Below are 17,933 nucleotides of genomic sequence, written 5' to 3'. Positions count from 1 at the left end.
TCAAGTCTTCCCTTATCAGTAATTACTTTAAATGTAAATGAATTAAACTCTCCAATCAGAAGACATAGATTGGCTGAATGGATTAAAAAAAAAAAAACATGATCCAACTACATGCTCTCTAAAAGAGATTCACTTTTTAGATGTACAAATACACATAGGCTGAAACTGAAAGGATGGAAAAAGATACTGCATGCAAATAGTAACCAAAAGGAAGCAGAGGTTGCTATACTAATATCAGACAAAATAAGCTTTAAGTCAAAAATGTTACAAAAAGTAAAAGGGGACATTATATATTAATGAAAGGCTTAATTTATGAAGAAGATATAATATTTATAAATATTTATGCACCAAGCCTCAAAACTCCTAAATATGTAAATAAAATTTTGACAGAATTGAGGAAACAAATATCAACACTGTAGTTGTAGGAAACTTTCATTTCTTCATTTTCAGTAATAGATAGAATAACCAGACTGAAGATCAATAAGAAAATAAAGAACTCAGACACTACGATAGACTAATTGGATCTATCAGACATATACAGAGCACTTCACCCAACAATAGCAGAATATATATTTTTCTCAAGTGTACATGGAAGATCTTTCAAGATACAACAAGTTAGGCCATAAAACAAGTCTAACAAATTCTAGAAGATTAAAGCTATACAAAGTATCTTTTCTAGTCACAATGGAATAAAATTAGAAATCAATAGCAAAATGAAAAAATGCACAAATAAATGTAAATTAAACAACAAATTCTTATATAACAAACAGGTCACAGAAGAAGTCACAAGGAAAATTAGAAAATATATTGGGACAAATGGAAATGAAAACACAACAAACCAAAACTTATGAGATGCAATGAAAGCAGTGCTAAAAGGAAGATTTATACATGTAAATTTGTACACTAAAAAAAAGGAAAGATCTTAAATCAACAACCTAACTCAAGAAACTAGAAAAAGAAGAACAAACTAAACCCAAAGTTCTAACAAAACTTAGAGCAGAGATAAATGAAATCAGAAACAGAAAAACAACAGAAAGAAATCAACTAAACCAAGAATTGGTTTTTTTGAAGAGATAAGGAGAATTGACAAATCCTTAGCTAGATTAGCTAAGAAAAAAAGAGATGATTCAAATAAATTGAAAATAAAAGACTGTACATTACAACCAATGTCACAAAAATAAGAATAATAACAGAATATTATGAGCAATTTTATGTCAACAAATTGTATAACTTAGGAGAAATGGATGAATTCCTAGCAACACACAACTTATCAAGACTGAATCATGAAGAAACAGAATATCTAAACAGACCAATAATTAGAAAGGAGATCGAATCAAAAATCAAAAACCTCCCAACAAAGAAAAGTATATGACCAGATGGTTTTACTGGAAAATTCTATGAAATATTACAAGAATCAACACAAATCCTGTTGAAACTCTTCTAAAAAATTAAAGAGAAGTGAACACATTCAAATTCATTCTATAAGATCAGCATTACTCTGATACCAAGGCCAGACAAAGCTCAAGAAAACTACAGACCAATATCTCTGATTAATGTTGATGAGAAAATCCTCAACAAAATACTAGAAAACTGAATTCAACAGCACATTAAAAGAATTTTACACCATGACCAAGTGGAATTTATTCATGGAATGCAAGAATGTTTTGACATGTAAAAATCAATCAAATTAATATACTGCATTAACAGAATGAAGACCAAAAGTCACATGATCATTGATATAGTAAAAGTATGTGACAGCATTTAATACCCTTTCAATAAAGTATTCAACAAACTAGAAATAGAAGGAAACTACCTCAACATAATAGAGGCCTTATATGAAACATCCACAGCTAACATCACATTCAATAGTGGAAAACTGAAAACTTTTTCTTTAAGATTGAAAGCAGGGTAAGGATCCCAGCACTTGTCACTTCTATTTAATAGAATATTGAAAGTCCTAGTCAGATCAATCAGGCAAAAAAATAAAATAAAATAAAAGGTATCCAAATTGGAAAGGAAGAAATAAAATTATTTCTATTCACAGATGACATAATCTTATATGTAGAAAACCTAAACATTCTGCAAAAATAAAAACTATTAAAACTAATAAATGAATTGAGCAAATTTACTGGGTATAAAATCAACACACAAAATGAGTTGTATTTCTGTATATTAACAATGAGCAAACCAAAACAAAATTAAAACAATTCCATTTGTAATGGCATCAAAAAGAAGAAAACACTTTGGAATAAGCCTAACCAAGAGGAGAAAGACATGTCAAAAACTACAAAACATTGCTGAAAACAATAAAACATTGCTGAAAAAAGTTAAAGAGGACACAAATAAATTGAACAATATTCTGTGTTCATGGATTGGAAGGCAATATTGTTAAAATGTCTATATTACCAAAAGTGATATACAGGTTCAATGGAATCCCTATTATTAATAAAATCCCAGTGGCATTTTATTGCAGAAATAGAAAAATTTGTACTAAAATTTATTTTAGAATTAGGAAAATTCATACTAAAGTTTCAAAGGACAGCAAATAATCAGAACAATTTTGAAAAAGAACAAAGTTGTAGAACTCACACTTACCAATTTCAAAACATATAAAGCCACAATAATCAAAGTGTGGTATTAACATAACAACAAATATAAACCAGTGGAATAGAAGAGATGACCCAGAAATAAACCCTCATTTGTATCATCAAACAATGTTCAACAAGGATGTCAAAACCACTCAATGAGGAAAAACACCACCATTCAACAAATAGTGCTGGAAAACTAGATATTCGCTTGCAAAAGAATGGTGCACTGTGTCTTCTACTATATACAAAAATTAACTCAAAATGAATAAAAAGTCAAAATGTAAGACCCCCAAACTCTAAAGCTCCTAGAAGAAACTACATGGAAAAACCTTTATGACATTGGAATTCGCAATGTTTTCTCTCAGGTATGAAAACTAAAGAACAGGCAACAAAAGCAAAAATAAACAAATGAGACTACATCAAACTTTAACCCTTTTGTACATCAAAGGACACAATCAACAGAGTGAAAGGGCACCCTACAGCATGGGAGACAATATTTTCAAATCATACATCTGATAAGGAGTTGATATCCAGAATACATAAAAACTCTTACAACACAACAACAAAATCAAATAACCCAATTTTTAAAATTGGCAAAGATTTCGAATAGACATTCAAATATCTATTTATCTCCAAAGATGATATACAAATGGCCAACAAGCATTTGAGAAGATGGCCAACATCACTAATCACTAGGGAAATGCAAATCAAAATCACAATGAGATACTAACTCATACCCATTAGAGTGGCTACTATCAGAACAACAGAAAACAACATGCATTGGTGAGAATGTCGATAAATTGAAACCTTGTGCACTGTTGGTGGGATTGTAAAATAGTCCAACTGCTATGGAAAACAATATGGAGGTCCCTCAAAAATTAAAAGTAGAGCTACCATATTATCCAGCAATTCAACTTCTAACCATATATCTAAAAAAATTGAAAGCAGAGTCCTGAAGAGATATTTGCACACCCATGTTCACACAGCATTATCCACAAAGCTGAGAGGCAGAAGAAATGTAAATGTTCATCAAATGACAAATGGATAAATGAAATGTGGTACATACATACAGTGGAATATTAATCAACCTTAAAAGGAAATTCTGATACACACACTACAACATTGATAAATCTTGAGAAAATTATGCTAAGTGAAATAATCCAGTCATAAAAACACAAATACTATATGATACCCCTAGTCAAATTCATAGAAACAGTAGAATAATTGTTACTAGGGTTGGGAGGAGGGGGAAAGGAGTAGTTGTTGTTTGATAGGTACAGAGTTTCAGTTTTACAAGATAAAAAAGTTCTGAAGATCTGTTTCACAACAATGTAAATATACTTAACGCTACTAAACTGTATATTTAAGAATGGTAAGCTAGTAAATTTTTTTGTTTTTCACCGTGAAAAAAAGACAATTTCATAAAGTATACTCAGTAGAATTTTAAAAATATTTCATATACGTTTTTCTCTTTGTAGATTCTCCAGACCTTTCTCTCAGTATCTACACATTTTAACAATAGTTCTAATTATTATTCAGAATACTAGTAGTAATTAATAGAACCAAAATAGATATGAAGCCAGATCTGTATAACTCCAAATCTGTGCACATTTTACCATACAAACGTAACTTTTTCTTTGCAGCTTAGTTTTACGTTGTTTTTCTAACACATGAACTAAAGGAAAAGGAGAATGTTCATCTGAGAAAATCTTCAAAAGATTTGTATTTTTACTTAAGGAAAAGGAAGGAAAGTAATTAATCTTCTCTTCCATAGAAGACCAGGAAGACGTTCTGTGAGGAAGACATAGGTGGAAATACGGAAAGCAGAAAAGACAACTTCGGGGTGGCCGGGAGATAACAGAAGGTAATCAGAAAATGAGAAATTATAAGAATAGTTCTGACTCTCAACTCCTTACAAACAGCCCACAACTCATTATTCTCTGGCTCCCTAACGAGTCTCACCTTTCTATTACCTCCATCTAAGACACTGTCTCTGCCAGGCTACTGGAGCTGCCACCATGACTTATTTCTGAAGAAATCCCTATTTCTCTGTCTGGCAGTTGGGAAGTCTGGGAGAGTTATTCAGACCTCAGTAGAGACAGAAAAGTATTCCAAGTATAATATCTAAATGCATATTCTCAAACAAACACTATCATTCTTAGAAATTAAATTCCATAGTATTAAAAATACTGCCTTATACATTAGATGGCTTATGGGATTGCTGTTGATGCCCTGCCTAGGTCCCCTTTACTATGAGGGGGCACCAACCTACCGTGAGCTGGCTGCAAAAAGGATACAGCTCCACTTTTCTCCTAGTACTGTTGTGAGCTGACAGGAATTGCCTTGTATAAAAATGCCTGAACAGCATGGCCAACATGGCGAAACCCCGTCTCTACTAAAATACAAAAATTAGCCGGGCATGGTGGTGGGTACCTGTAATCCCGGATACTTGGGAGGCTGAGGCAGGAGAATCGCTTGAACCCAGGAGGGGGAGGTTGCCGTGAGCTGAGATTGAGCCACTGCACTCCAGCCTGGGCGACACAGCGAGACTCCGTTGAGGAAGGGAGGAAGGGAGGGAGGAAGGAAAAGAGGGAGGGAGGAAGAGAGGAAGGGAGGAAGGGAGGGAGGGAGGTAGGGAGGGAGGGAGGGAGGGAGGGAGGGAGGGAGGAAGGAAGGGACGAAGGAAGGAAGGGACGAAGGAAGGAAGGGACGAAGGAAGGAAGGGACGAAGGAAGAGAAGGAAGCCTGAGAAGTTATAAGCATAGCTTGCGGTTGATGACTCAATAATTCAGGGCTACAAAAGCTCAACCCCTTTGCCTCAATTTGGGATAATACTGTGGTATTATTTTATGCTCTAGAGCTTCTCATGTGATGGGTGAAGCCAGACTTTATCCGAAGCCTATTTTCGTTTGGCCTTCCCCTCTGCCCTATCCTGCTGTCGGTAGTTTTTCACAGCTTTTTCCCATGTCAGCACTCCCTCAATAAACAACTTGCAAAAAATACCCTGGTATCAGACTCTCTTCCAGGGAACCAAACCTAAGACATGGAGAAAATAGATTTCTAAATCTAATTGCCTTGGAATCTAATTGGTATATAGGTTTTGTTATTTTTTGTGTGTGTGTGATGGACTCTTGCTCTTTTGCCCAGGCTGGAGTGCAGTGGCGTGATCTCGGCTCACTGCAAACTCCACCTCCCGGGTTCACGCCATTCTCCTGCCTCAGCCTCCCAAGTAGTTGGGACTACAGGCGCCCGCCACCACGCTCGTTTTTTTTGTTCTGTTTGTTTGTTTGTTTTTGTATTTTCAGTAGAGACGGGGTTTCACCGTGTTAGCCAGGATGGTCTCAATCTCCTGACCTCGTGATCCGCCCACCTTGGCCTCCCGAAGTGCTGGGATTACAGGCGTGAGCCACCGTGCTCGGCCAGTATATAGGTGTTTTTATAGAAAAATGCATTTCAAATTCTAACAACCAATCTATTAAAACATTTTTGAAAATAAGCCTGTGTATGCATCTAAAACTAAGAAACATTTTTTTTCAGGTTTTATTATTAAATAGCCCAGGTAAACACATATGCAGAGAAATAACTAAAGTCTCCTTCTTCCAGGTAATAGCAGACTAAATAACTCAGAACTATCCTCCTGCTGAAGGCAATAGGAAGTCTGGCAAAGTATTTTTTAATTCTGCTTAAAAATGTCAGAGAACTAATAAAATAGTAAAGAATTATGAGACAAGATCCATGGAAAGATGGAGGCTTAAGGAGGTGAGCTAGAATTTGGAGGGACTTTTCTCCTGGGAGAAATTCACCAACTCTATCCAGGGGCTCCCAAATTAAGTGCACTTTTAATAGCCTCTGGGAGATAAGGGTTCAGATAATTAACTCCAGAGCCTGCTGAAAAGAAAAGGATTTATGTGAACATTTTGGGAGTAAGGATGAACCAAAAATAGGCCCTCCTAGAGATGGTAGCTTAGCTACCAATATTTTCTCGTTTTTTGTTGACTTTTATATGAAGTTCAGAGGTACACATGCAGGTTTGTTACGAAGGTAAAATTGTGTCATGGAGGTTTGTTGTACAGATTATTTTATCACCCAGGCATTAAGCCTAGTACCCCTTAGTTATTTTTCCTGATCCTCTCCCTCCTCCCATCTCCCACCCTCAAAAGGGCCCTAGTGTGTGTTGTTCACCTCTATGTATCCACGTGTTCTCATCAGTTAGCTCCATTTATAAGTGAAAACATGCAGTATTTGGTTTTCTGTTCCTGTGTCAGTTTGCTAAGAATAATGGCCTCCAGCTCCATCCATGTCCTTGCAAAGGAAATGATCTCATTCTTTTTTATGGCTGCATAGTATTCCATGGTGTATATGTACAACATTTTCATTATCAAGTCTGTCGTTGATGGGCATCTAGGCTGATTCCATGTCTTTGCTATTGCGAATAATGCTGCAATGAACAAAAATGGGCATATGTCTTAGTAATCGAATGATTTACATTCCTTTGGGTATATACCCAGTAATGAGATTGCTGGGTCAAATGGTATTTCTGTTTTTAGGTCTTTAAGGAATTGCCACACTGTCTCCACCATGGTTGAACTAATTTACACTCACATCAACAGTGTATAAGCATTCGTTTTTCTCCACAACTTGGCCAGCATCTGTTATTTTTTTTTTTACTTTTTAATAGCCATTTTAACTGGTGTGAGATGGTTTCTCATTGTGGTTTTCATTTGCATTTCTCTAATAATCGGTGATGTTGAGCTTTTTTTCATATGATTGTTGGTCACACGTATGTCTTCTTTTGAGAAGCATCTGTTCATGTCCTTTGCCCACTTTTTAATGGGGTTGTCTGTTTTTTCTCAAATTTGTTAAGTTCCTTATACATGCTGGATATTAGACTCTCATCAGATGTATAGTTTGCAATTTTTTTCCATTCTGTAGGTTTTCTGTTCACTTGCTTGATAGTTTCTTTTGCTATGCAGAAACTCTGTAGTTTAATTAGATTCCATTTGTCAATTTTTTCTTTTGCTGCAATTGCTTTGGGGGTCTTTGACATGAAATCCTTGCCTGTTCCTGTGTCCTGAATGGTATCCTATGTTGTCTTCCAGGGATTTTATAGTTTGGGGTTTTACGTATAAGTCTTTTATCCATCTTGAGTTAATTTTTTTATATGGTGTAAGAAAGGGGTCTGGTTTCAAGTCTTCTGCATATGACTAGCCAGTTATCCCAGCACCATTTATTGAATAGGGAATCCTTTCCCTGCTTCTCATTTTTCTTAGGTTTGTCGAAGATCAGATAGTTGTGGGCATGTGGCTTTATTTCTGGGTTCTCTATTCTGTTCCATTGGTCTGTGTGTCTATTTTTGTACCAAACAGATTCACAGCTGAATTCTACTAGATATACAAAGAGGAGCTGGTCCCTACCATTTGTATTGAAACTATTCCAAAAAATTGAGGAGGAGGGACTCCTGCCTAACTCATTCTATGAGGCCAGCATCATCTTGACACCAAAATCTCACAGATGCAACAAAAAATGCAAACTTCAGGCCAATATCCTTGATGAATCAATGCAAAAATCCTCAACAAAATACTGGCAAACTGAATCCAGCAGTACATCAAAAAGCTTATCCACCACAATAAAGTAGGCTTTGTCCTTGAGATGCAAGTTGGGTCAACATACACAAATCAATAAATGTGATTCATCACATAAACAGAACTAAAGACAAAAATCACATGATTATCTCAATAGATACAGAGAAGGCTTTTGCTAAAATCCAACACCCCTTCATGTTAAAACTCTCAATAAACTAGGTGTTGAAGGAACACACCTCAAAATAATAAGAGCCATCTCTATGACAAACCAACAGCCAACATCATACTGAATGGGCAAAAGCTGGAAGCATTTTCCTTGAAAACCAGCATAAGACAAAGATGCCCTCTCTCATCACTCCCATTCAACATAGCATTGGAAGTCCTGGCCAGAGCAATCAGGCAAGAAAAAGAAATAAAGGGCATCCAAATAGGAAGAGAGAAAGTCAAACTATTCCTGTATCTAGCAAACCTCATAGTCTCAGCCCAAAAGCTTCTTAAGCTGATAAGCGACTTCAGCAAAGTCTCAGGATACAAAATCAGTGTGCAAAAATCACTAGCAGTCCTATACACCAACAAGAGACAGGCTGAGATCCAAATCAGACACATAATCCCATTCACAACTGCCACAAAAAGAATAAAATGCCTAGGAATACAGCTAACTAAAGAGGTGAAGTATCTCTATAAGGACAACTATAAAACACTGCTCAACGAAATCAGAGATGACACAAACTGAAAAACATTCTGTGTTCATGAATAGAGAGAATCAATATCATAAAAATGGCCATATTGTCCAAAACAATTTATAGATTCAATGCTATGCCTATTAAACTACCATTTGGGTTCTTTACAAAACTAGAAGAAAACTATTTTAAAATTCACATGAAACAAAAAATGATCTTGAATGGTCAAGATAATCCTAAGCAAAAAGAACAAAACTGGAGGCATCATGCTACCTGACTTCAAACTATACTACAGAATTACAGTAACCAAAACAGCATGGTACTGGTACAATACTTTCAATATTTCAAATTGAACTAATATAATCCTACATTGCTAGTAACCCTAGTCATCTACCAGAAATAAAAGTAAGTCCTTCCTGGAGTAAAATAATTTCATCCTAGGCCTCCAGTTATTTCTATAAGTAATTTACAAGGTATCTCAGTCAGTTTGGGCTCCATTCTTATGACCTAATTACCTCCCAAAGGCCCACCTTTTATTATCATCCATTATGGATTACAGTTTCAACACATGAATTTTGGGAAAAAATATGCAGTTTATAATGCAAAGTCTGACATACAATATAGTAATCAGACCCAGCAGTAGATAAAATGACATGAACAAATCAGCAGGAACAACAGACAGTAGAGATGAACCCACAAAAACTCCACACAGCGGAGTTAGTAGAGAGGCACTTTAAAATAACAATAGTCATTATGTTCAAGAAAATGACAAAAATTTCAGCAACATATTGGAAATGGAAATATATAATCACAGATTAGAACTCAATGGATAACATGATGAAAGGGTATAGCAGCAGGTAAAAAGTGGTGAGGAGAGAATTACTGAATTGAAGGAGAGATCAGAAGAAAAAAATCCATAATGAAACCACAAAAAAATGGGGGGAAAACCTAGAAGAGAAGGTAGAAGACACAGAGGATAGAGTAAGAATCTAATAAGTAACAAGACATGGAGTCTCACAGAGACAGGAAAGAGAGAAAATGGTCAAAAGCAATATTTAAAGAGATAATAACTAAGAATATCTCAATGTGAATAAAACCACAGATTCTAAAATCTCTTATAAAAACCCAGAGTTAACTAATCAATTTCAGCTTTCTAAGGATAAAATTTTTTAAATTTAAGCATACTTTTAGAAATGTTATCTATAGAACAGAAATAATAGTCATACCACCAGGATTACTGTAAGATCATATACGGTAGCATATTTGGACACTATATAGAAATTAATTGTGATCTCAAGTGTTTTGTGTTTTAATATAATTCTAAATTAATTAATTTACTAAGAGTTAAACATCATGTAAAAGTCTTGACACAATAATAAGTCTTAAAAATGTTAGGTAAAAATACTCCACAAAATTAGTGGGTTTAACTCATATAATAAACACTCATCACAATATATTAGTTATAATTTATTAATTGTTCTCCCTCTTAGTCTTTATAGTCTTTGTCTGTGATATTTATTAATCTTAAGAAGCTGTTGGAATACTCTGGAATAACTGGAGCCAAGTAGGATTTTTCTGGCATCAAGGAAGGAACATGGAAGAAAATCAGCAGACTAAATTTACAACCAAAATTCAATAGTCCCTAGATGATTGTGATATGAGATCAATATTCATTTATATGCACGTGAAGATAAATATCATGAAAGTTCCAGTATTTATATGATGCCCAAATAAGTCTTTTTTTAAAAAACCCATATCCGATTTTCAAAAACTGCCATTAGATAATTATAGAAAGTTATAGTGCCAGAAAGTTAGGAAAGCAGAAAACTTGAAACTAGCTCATAAACATTTCAAGAACCTAATGAGGGTTATTTTCACCTACAGATATTGATCAAACTCCAGAAGAGGACAGAGTAGTCAGCCAAATTTACTATCCTCACATGACCTTTCTTGGTTGTTTATCTTTTTTGTACTCTGCTGAATTTCAAATCAAGTGTCTCATGTTAAAGCAGAAGAAAATTTTACTAAGTGAATTAAAGGAACTGGCTTCCAGAGCCAAGTGAGCAAGGAAGCACCAAAATGATTTTTCCCCCCCGACACATTAACTTTCAAAATTTTAACTGTAGGTAGTTGGAATTAGGGATTCTTCAACCGATAAAAAATAGTCTACCTGTACTCCACTATCATAGTAGCTTCCACTCAGTACAATACTAGATGATTTTCTTTTCACGTTAAATTTCATTACAATGTTTTCAGCAGGAGCCAAGTTTCCAAGAATGAAACACAATCATAGGTAAACAATTATAACCATATAAAATTAACAATAGATTTAAATTCGTGTCAATAAATTTTGAGTTAATTTGCTTACTAAATATGTATTTAGTGATCACTTACAGAAAGACAAGCACAGAGATAGAAAGATGAAAAGATACAAATCTAACTTGAAGGAGGTTATACTTTAGGACATTTATGCAATCCACAATTACAGAATTGTTCCATAACTGCTGAGATGCACAACACTTATATAAGATATTTTGGAACTACATGCAGTTGTTTCTAAGTATTGTTGGGAAAATTGGGGAAAACTTCAGAGAGGTGCGTCAAAGAGCTACGAGAGAGAGAAGCATCAAAAGGACCAGGCATTCTAGTCTACAAGAATAACTTATGCAATTGACTTACAACACGCAAAAAAAAAAAAGTGGATACTAGAAATTACAATATTCATGTTGCTGAAGCATGAAAAAAAGGAAAAGTAGAAAATTAGGTTATTTAGATTGGTATGGACCAGATAATAAACGAACCAAGATTTCATTCAATAGGCTGATTGTTTTCAAAAGAACCCAATGGATTTTCAAGCACCCCTGCAGAATCCAAAGAGAGACAAATAGATGAAGATCCAGGCCGTTTCTCTTCCAGTAGACTGACATCATTTTATCCATTTATTTTGGGGATTCAGGCAATATTTTATTGAAAATCACTGTTATAAGCAATGAGAGCCACCAGGGAATGCTAGCGAGGTTTTCCCAAGAGCTGAATTCATCAGAATGTGTTTCACAGCATTAGTTTCAAACATTTTCAATATATTTCCATTTTCAAAGCCATATTGTCTATTTTTAAAAGACAAGGAGATATGAAAGTAACATAGAGGTAGGCATACAAAAGATGACTGAGGGCACCAATTGGGTTCTAATAAACAGTATTTTTTGCTGTTTTGGATCATCTTTAAGCAGATGACAACATACTATATATAGCATGCATAATCCTGTTCCTCTTGAAGTTACCAGGTCTTGTTTGACAGTCTCAGATCTGTCTTTTAATGAACAATATTGTTACATCTTATAGCCCTTCTTAAATATACTTCAACATATATGAATAATAAATAAATTACTGGTAGCAGAGCTCCCCACCTTAGGAAATATGAATCCATAATTCTGAATTCTAACATTACACAAAACTAATTTGTGTGACCTTTAATGAAAACTGAATTCTTGTTTACATAATGGAGAATTCATTATGTAGGAGTAGTCCAGGAATTAATAATTAAGCAGAGCCAAAAAGGCGAGAAATAGCAAATGCTTATCTTCAGATCTCTACACCATAAAATCTCTATTTGGTAAAATCTAATTGGTATGAAAATGACTCTTTAAACCTTCCAAAGTAATTAGAGCATTTTCAAAAATGTTTTCTTATAAAATATGGTTCCCAAAATAGTTCATACTGGTTATTTTGAGAAGGTGCGATTTTTTAAAAATCTACATATAAAACTCAGAATTCATTCTGCCATTATTGATGAAAACATGGAAACAAGAACAATTGCACCATATGGAAGACTGTCTAGACAAGAATGTTAGGGGTTATGACTGAAATAATTTATTGTTTGCTGAGAGCCAACAGTATGCTTAGCATTAGACAACACATCAAAAGAATAGGACTGTAGCCATTGAACTCACAATTTAAGCCAGACACACAAACATTGAAATAATAAATCATAACAGCTAAGAAAATTGTGTGAATTTCACAGGAATGAATTTGGGTGTTGATTTACTTTATTAGCAATAAAAAATTAAGAGATGCCAGAAATAATCATCATAAAGATTGTCAATGCGTGTTATTAATCTAGCCCCAGAATTAGCTACCTGACTGAATTTTAAAAAGCAAATTTGTGACATTTAACAATCATGAGAATGAGTATTTTTTGCAGCAGCATTTATAAAACATTTTATCACATGCTGATGTTATGAAAAGCAAATTACGCTTAATGTTCATACCTTCTTTGTGTGCATACATTTACTATCACCCATTTTTTCATTCTTTCTTGCCTTCATGATCACTGGTCTTTCAATAAATAAAAAGAGTAAGCCAGTTAGATTAATTTTCTGTTTTTTATTTAAGGGCACATTTTTATATGCAATCATATGGATGTAAATGTCACCCATGCTCAAGAAACTTCAAATATTTTTATTGTTGTCACCCTTCCAAAGAGTGCTAAAAGTATTAAACAATAGTCAGCTTTGAGATTAGAAACCTATGCTAGGGTTTAATTCATAAATATTCTGTGTTACACTGCTGTGGAAATTAGGTGGTTTTAGATGGTGGTTTTTAGGCTTTGACTAACGTAACATCTCCGGACCTTTGTTCCTTTACCTAAAATATGGGTAATACACAGAGTTTTATAAGAATTAAATATGGGAAATCTATAAAACAGGTGGCCTTGGTAAAAATAACAGTGAGCAAGTATCTATTATTTAAATAACATAATAATGTTTCTGCATGTATGAGTTTATCATGCTAGAAAAATATAACAAAAACCAGAGCTAACAGAAACAGAATTATTTACAGTAAAACCCCAAGGAAAGGAAAGTATTTGCTTTACGTTTTTGGAGAAATAAAAGGTTAAGAATTAGGGGAGAAATCTCCAAGAGACACAATTGTTTCATTTAAGAACAATTCTATATAAAGTTCATAGCTGTTTAACAGGAGTGAATGCAAGTTTAAGGTTAGTGCTTTGAAAGGGAATTGTTGAAACCCATGAGCGTGAAGTAACATTTATGTAGATAACGGCAGGATGTCCAACCAAGAAGACCCACGTGTGTGCCCAGAGAATGTAATACAGATACCTACATATAGTTAGAATAAGATCCTATAAGATCACATTCTATAAAATGTGCTGCTTAGCTGGTTTTACTTACCAATGGCCTTAGTATCAAGACTAAGGTCAAAAGTAGGGTACACATTGTCCAGACACACAGAATAATCCCTGCACAGGTTGTTTAATACTGGAGTTAATGTAGATTACAAGGGGATTTGTCTAGATTCTATTTATTTCATTCCACAAATACTTCTTGAAAACTTGTTATGTGCCAGGGATTCATAGGCACCGGGAATACAAAAGAAACAGAGTAGGTGAAACAATAAAAACAAATAAGACAAACAAAGACTTTTATTATGCTTACCTTCTATTCAGAGAACACAGAAAATACACATACAAGTGAGTAAGTCTCCTAATATACTCAAAGGTGGTGTGAGGTATGGAATACAAAGTAGGGAAGGGGGAGGGAATGAGCTGGAGAAATGAAGGATGCAACTCTAAAGATCTAGACCAGAAAAGACCTCACTGTGAATATGATATTGAAATCAAATATCTGAAGAAGCAGAATCTTAAACTAGCAATCCATGCATATGTCCATGGAACAAACATGCCAAGAAGAGGGAAGAGCAAGTTCAAATTGACTAGAACAGTGCCTGGCATAGAGCAAGTATCTCCAATATTTCTTCAATGAAAAGGAAAATTGTGTTGGGCTAAGCAAGATGAGTTTTGGGGAATGACAAGAGGAGGAGAGTCATTCTTTTCTTCTTTTGGTGATGGGACACTCAACAAACAACAGAGGAGCAGATGCATCTTCCAGAGAGGTGATCTGGTTCTGCAATGCCAGATGCCACCATGACCACTGAAAGCCACTGTGGCATTTACTTGGGATGGGGCATCTGATCCCTTGGTCCTGTCCTGCCCACTCAACGTAACTTTGACTTTGTTCTCTTCAGTTACTAAATCCATGGCTCAGCAATGAACTTCCTACTCCCAGCAACTCTAAGAGGCTGCTCCTGAGGTGTCTCCCAGCCCATGAGCTCTGATGCAGTGCATTCCTGCCAGGAACTTCATTTCAGCCTCAGGTGCAGGTGCAGGTACCACAACTTACATCTCTTTACATGACCAGCTCTACAGAGTCCACAGTAATGGCACTGTCATTTTATAATGACAATTGGCACAAATCAGTTAGTCTACACTGGACAAATATAAGGAAAAATATAGCACTTATTTTTCCTATTTTTCATATTATCAAGCAACAGTCATAAAGCAGTCAATTAAGTTAATTGAATTGGAATAAGGAGAAAATTGTTTATAATTACCTAGAAACTCACCTTCTATATTTCACAAGGAAGAGAACGCAATTCAGAGAGTCTCAACAGTTTATGGCATGCATGTTACAAAAGTGTATCTCTTCTATGTACATTTCATGAGTTATAGTTCATTTACATTGGCTCACATAAACATTCAAGTCTCTAAAATTGAGTAGTGTGAACAGTGCCCAGGTTAAAAGTAAGACTGGAAAGAATTTGCTAATATATACAACTATAATAATTTGCGAGGCTGTAATGAGCTGTGGGTTAGCCCGTCATTTATTCCTGCATCTCACCATGATCCTTTCCTGCAGCTGTTCTGCAAACATCCATTCCTTCCCTTCCCTGGGACAGATCTCAGCGACGAAAACTCTAAGTCTCTAATTTATTGAATGTTCACTCTATGCTAGGCCCTGAAGGAAGGGTGCCACACACAGTGCCTCTTTTAAAATCACCAATAACCTGGGAAAGAAGGTAATCTTATTATCCCTGTTTTATGAAAATTAAAGCTCAGATATGTCAAATAATTTGTTCAGAGTTACATAGCTTAAGTTCCCAAAGCAGGATTAAACTGTGGGGCTTAAACTGTAGGATACAGAATTAAACTGTAGGATACGAGAACTTGAGATTTTTGTTATATTCTCCACATGCCTAAGTATTAATCCTGATAGGAGAGCAGGATCAGGCAGGGGCTGGTAGTGTCAGCCTGACAATATTAAACAGCTTCCCAAGGGGCCCCCTGAGGCAGAAAATCTTATATGTCTCCCCTCTCTCGGGAAAAAAAAAAAAAGTCTGATTTTATTTGAGATAGGAATGTACCTAGCTAAATATTTTTCTTATCATCCCTTCCAGCTAGAGTTGGCTATGTGACACATGACTAATAATATTTAAATAAAAGGCTGAAAGAAATTCTGGGAAAGGCTATGTTTACCTAATAAATGGGGACGAGTTGGACCAGAATATTCCCTCCTTTATTCCTTTCTCAAATGTAGACAAGAAGCTGGTAGAACTGCAGGCGCCATCTTAAAGCCATAAGGCAAATCACAGAGATCTTGGCAGTGAATTTGAACTGCTGAACCCACAGCAGACCGCCTACCCTCAGACATCTTATCACAGAAAGAAAATATAGGCATACCTTGGAGTTATCACACGTTCCCTTCCAAACCACTGCAATAGACTGAGTATTGCAATACAGCCAGTTACACATTTTTTGGATTCCTAGTACCTATAAAAGTTACATTTACAGTATACTGTAGTCTACTAAGTGTGCAATAGCATTACGTCTAAATAAATAGTGTATATACCTTAATTTTAAATACTTTATTGCTAATGATCATCTAAGCTTACAGCAAGTCATAATCTTTTTGCTTGTTGAGGGTCTTACCTTGATGTTGACAGCTGCTGACTGATCAAGGTGGTGGTTGCTGAAGGTTGGGGTGGCTGTGGCAACGTCACAAAATAAGACAGCAATGAAGTTTGCCATATTGATTGACTCTTCATGAAAGATTTCTCTATAGCATGGGGTGCTGTTTGATTTAATAGCAACAGGGTCTCACTATGTTGCCCAAGCTAATCTCCAATGCCTGGCCTCAAGCGATCATCCTGCCCCAGCCTCCCAAAGTGCTCGGATTAGACATGAATCACTGAAACCAGCCTAGAACTTCTTTCAAAATTAGAGTCAATCCTCTCAAACCCCACCGCTTTTTCAACTCAGTTTATTTAATCTTCTAAATCGTTTGTTGTCATTTCAACAATGTTCACGTTGTCTTCATCAAGAGTAGATGCTATCTCAAGAAACCACTCTTTGCTCATCCATATGAAATAACTCCTCGTCTGTTCAAGTTTTATCATGAGATTGTAGCAATTTAGTCACATCTTCAGGCTCCACTGCTAATTCTAGTTATTTTGCTATTTCCTCCTAAGTCACCTACAGTGACTTCCTCCACTGAAGTCTTGAACCTCTCGAAGTCATCCATTAGGGTTGGAATCAACTTCTTCCAAACTCATATTAATGTTGATATTTTCACTTGTTCCCATGAAGCATGAATGTTCTTAATGACATCTACAATTGTGAATATTTTTCAGAAGATTTTTCATTAACTTTGCCCAGCTCCATCAGAGAAATCAGTATTTATGGCAATGATAACCTTACAAAGTGCATTTCTTAAGTAATACAACTAGAAACCAGCAAGCCAGATTGATTCCTGGATCCATGGACTTCAGAATGGATGTTGTGTTAGCAGGAATGAAAACAACATTCATCTCTTTGTACATCTTCATCAGAGCTCTTGGGTGATCAGGTGTGTTGTCAATGAGCAGCAATATTTTTCTCAGAGCAGTATGTCTCAACAGTGGGCTTGAAATATTCAGTAAACCATGCTATAAACAGATGGGCTGTCATTCAGGTTTTGTTCTTTTTATAGAGCACAAGCTGAGTCCATTTAGCATAAATCTTTTTTTTTTTTTTTTTTTTTTTTTGAGATGGAGTCTCACTCTGTCCCCCAGGCTGGAGTGCAGTGGCACAATCTCGGCTCACTGCAACCTCCGCCTCCCAGGTTCAAGCAATTCTCGTGCATCAGCCTCCCAAGCAGCTGGTATTACAGGCACCTGCCACCACACCCGGCTAATTTTTGCATTTTTAGTAGAGACGAGGTTTCACCATGTTGGTCAGGCTGGTCTCAAAC

The 17,933-nt window shown here is 35.6% G+C and overlaps 2 long non-coding RNA genes across 2 annotated transcripts in view; one reads left to right on the top strand and one right to left on the bottom strand.

Annotated features, from left to right (window-relative positions):
• The window catches only part of LOC102724261 (uncharacterized), a 32,260-nt gene extending 15,722 nt beyond the window's left edge, over positions 1 to 16,538 (top strand). The window contains exons 2-3 of the long non-coding RNA XR_429056.4: positions 4,363 to 4,452; positions 14,893 to 16,538. This is a non-coding gene — a long non-coding RNA (uncharacterized LOC102724261). The remainder of the gene's footprint in view (positions 1 to 4,362; positions 4,453 to 14,892) is intronic.
• Positions 1 to 17,933, bottom strand: part of KCNJ8-AS1 (KCNJ8 antisense RNA 1) — a 166,949-nt gene that overhangs the window by 87,113 nt on the left and 61,903 nt on the right. The gene's annotated exons all lie outside the window — the stretch shown is intronic.

This window comes from Homo sapiens, chromosome 12 (genome assembly GCF_000001405.40).
Source record: "Homo sapiens chromosome 12, GRCh38.p14 Primary Assembly".
Lineage (NCBI taxonomy): Eukaryota > Metazoa > Chordata > Mammalia > Primates > Hominidae > Homo > Homo sapiens.
The sequence above is the reverse complement of the archived record's forward strand: the minus strand, read 5'-3'. Positions and strand labels throughout refer to the sequence as shown.